At 46.7% G+C, this 2,597-nt stretch overlaps 1 annotated feature.

The window, feature by feature from the left end:
- Window positions 645-1,188: an enhancer, noted in NCBI's record as "OCT4-NANOG-H3K27ac-H3K4me1 hESC enhancer chr7:97243215-97243758 (GRCh37/hg19 assembly coordinates)". NCBI's record gives its function as "activates a minimal SCP1, AML or CMV promoter by ChIP-STARR-seq in naive H9 embryonic stem cells {active_cell/tissue: H9 hESC(naive)}" and the evidence as "EXISTENCE:reporter gene assay evidence [ECO:0000049][PMID:30033119]".

Below are 2,597 nucleotides of genomic sequence, written 5' to 3'. Positions count from 1 at the left end.
TTTTCCAACTTGGTTCCATTCTCCACATCACTTTCAGGTACACCAATCAGACGTAGATTTGGTCTTTTCACATAGTCCCATATTTCTTGGAGGCTTTGCTCATTTCTTTTTATTCTTTTTTCTCTAAACTTCCCTTCTCGCTTCATTTCATTCATTTCATCTTCCATTGCTGATACCCTTTCTTCCAGTTGATCGCATCGGCTCCTGAGGCTTCTGCATTCTTCACGTAGTTCTCGAGCCTTGGTTTTCAGCTCCATCAGCTCCTTTAAGCACTTCTCTGTATTGGTTATTCTAGTTATACATTCTTCTAAATTTTTTTCAAAGTTTTCAACTTCCTTGCCTTTGGTTTGAATGTCCTCCCGTAGCTCAGAGTAATTTGATCGTCTGAAGCCTTCTTCTCTCAGCTCGTCAAAATCATTCTCCATCCAGCTTTGTTCTGTTGCTGGTGAGGAACTGCGTTCCTTTGGAGGAGGAGAGGCGCTCTGCGTTTTAGAGTTTCCAGTTTTTCTGCTCTGTTTTTTCCCCATCTTTGTGGTTTTATCTACTTTTGGTCTTTGATGATGGTGATGTACAGATGGGTTTTCGGTGTAGATGTCCTTTCTGGTTGTTAGTTTTCCTTCTAACAGACAGGACCCTCAGCTGCAGGTCTGTTGGAATACCCTGCTGTGTGAGGTGTCAGTGTGCCCCTGCTGGGGGGTGCCTCCCAGTTAGGCTGCTCGGGGGTCAGGGGTCAGGGACCCACTTGAGGAGGCAGTCTGCCCGTTCTCAGATCTCCAGCTGCGTGCTGGGAGAACCACTGCTCTCTTCAAAGCTGTCAGACAGGGACAGTTAAGTCTGCAGAGGTTACTGCTGTCTTTTTGTTTGTCTGTGCCCTGCCCCCAGAGGTGGAGCCTACAGAGGCAGGCAGGCCTCCTTGAGCTGTGGTGGGCTCCACCCAGTTCGAGCTTCCCGGGCTGCTTTGTTTACCTAAGCAAGCCTGGGCAATGGCGGGCGCCCCTCCCCCAGCCTCGTTGCCGCCTTGCAGTTTGATCTCAGACTGCTGTGCTAGCAATCAGCGCGATTCCGTGGGCGTAGGACCCTCTGAGCCAGGTGTGGGATATAGTCTCGTGGTGCGCCGTTTCTTAAGCCGGTCTGAAAAGCGCAATATTCGGGTGGGAGTGACCCGATTTTCCAGGTGCGTCCGTCACCCCTTTCTTTGACTCGGAAAGGGAACTCCCTGACCCCTTGCGCTTCCCAGGTGAGGCAATGCCTCACCCTGCTTCGGCTCGCGCACGGTGCGCACACACACTGTCCTGCGCCCACTGTCTGGCACTCCCTAGTGAGATGAACCCGGTACCTCAGATGGAAATGCAGAAATCACCCGTCTTCTGCGTCGCTCACGCTGGGAGCTGTAGACCCGAGCTGTTCCTATTCGGCCATCTTGGCTCCTCCTCCCACAGATGGAGATTTCAATCCAGGTCTTATTTTCGCTGTGCTTGCCGTGTTTAGTGCCCTCCCTAAGCGGCTGCCAGCGAGGCACCTGGCCCAGCTGAGATGGATGTCCTCTCCCCAACAAATATTGATTTCATGCAAAGTATATATTATCTAAATCCTCTCCCTTTATCTCTAGAGATCTGCGGATAGTCACCTGGGGCCCAGGCACTTATTCCACTGTGAAAGTGAAAGGTTTTCAATACAAATAAACCATTTAGGAAGGGTAAAAGTGACCACAGAGAATGTCTTTCATCCTCTGTGTCCAGCTTGCCAGTTTAGGACCATCTGGTAACCTCAGATACTTTCCCCTCCATGCTCTCTGATAACTAAAGCAGTCCCTCTTATCCAATTGTAATGACCTGGAATTAGGGTAGTCTCTGGGCCTCTATTTTAAAATCCTTAAAGTTTTAAAATACTTACTGTTGTCTAAAACACAGACTTAGCATAGTGACTTGGGTGTCACCTAACACATCTGATATTATAATGGATTTAAAGGGCATGAACTACTTTTCCTCTGTAAGATGACCTGCTTGGTTTCTAATCCAGGGCAAGGCTTTATAATTTAGTGAAATAGAGTTAACTTAAGTTTCTTAAATGTGGCCCTTTGCTGTTTAGGTGCAAGGGGAAAGATAAGGATTCAAGAACACCAGATCTTGAAATTCTCTTTCTGGACCCGTTTCCCAGGGCTTTTGAACAGTCTTGTTACTATTCAAATTGAGAGCTTGCCAGAGTTTTTGCAATGGCTGCTGCAGCTTCTCAGAATTTAACACTTTCTGGTGCTGCATCTTTTTCTCTTGGTCACTTCGCAATATTGTGGATTTGAGCTTCTGGCATTCTAAAACTAATAATCCATCCATACTGAAAAGTTCTAAGGAGCTAGAAATTGGCTCCTTGAACTAATATTTGAGTATGGACTTCTGGTAAACATGGCAGGTTCACAAAGGCACTTATCACCACTGCCTCCTTAAACCTAGATTTGATTATAATGGGAAGAAGAAAATAGCAATTGAGAGATATCAAGCGAATTTTGGAAAATAGAAAGTATATAAAGAATCTCCCCAACCCTGTGCAGAGAGGTGAGTTCCCTTTTATTCTGGAGAAGTATTCTGAGGCATGATATGGTC

This window comes from Homo sapiens, chromosome 7, assembly GCF_000001405.40.
Source record: "Homo sapiens chromosome 7, GRCh38.p14 Primary Assembly".
Taxonomy (NCBI): Eukaryota; Metazoa; Chordata; class Mammalia; order Primates; family Hominidae; genus Homo; species Homo sapiens.
This window is presented reverse-complemented; position numbering and strand designations above follow the sequence as displayed.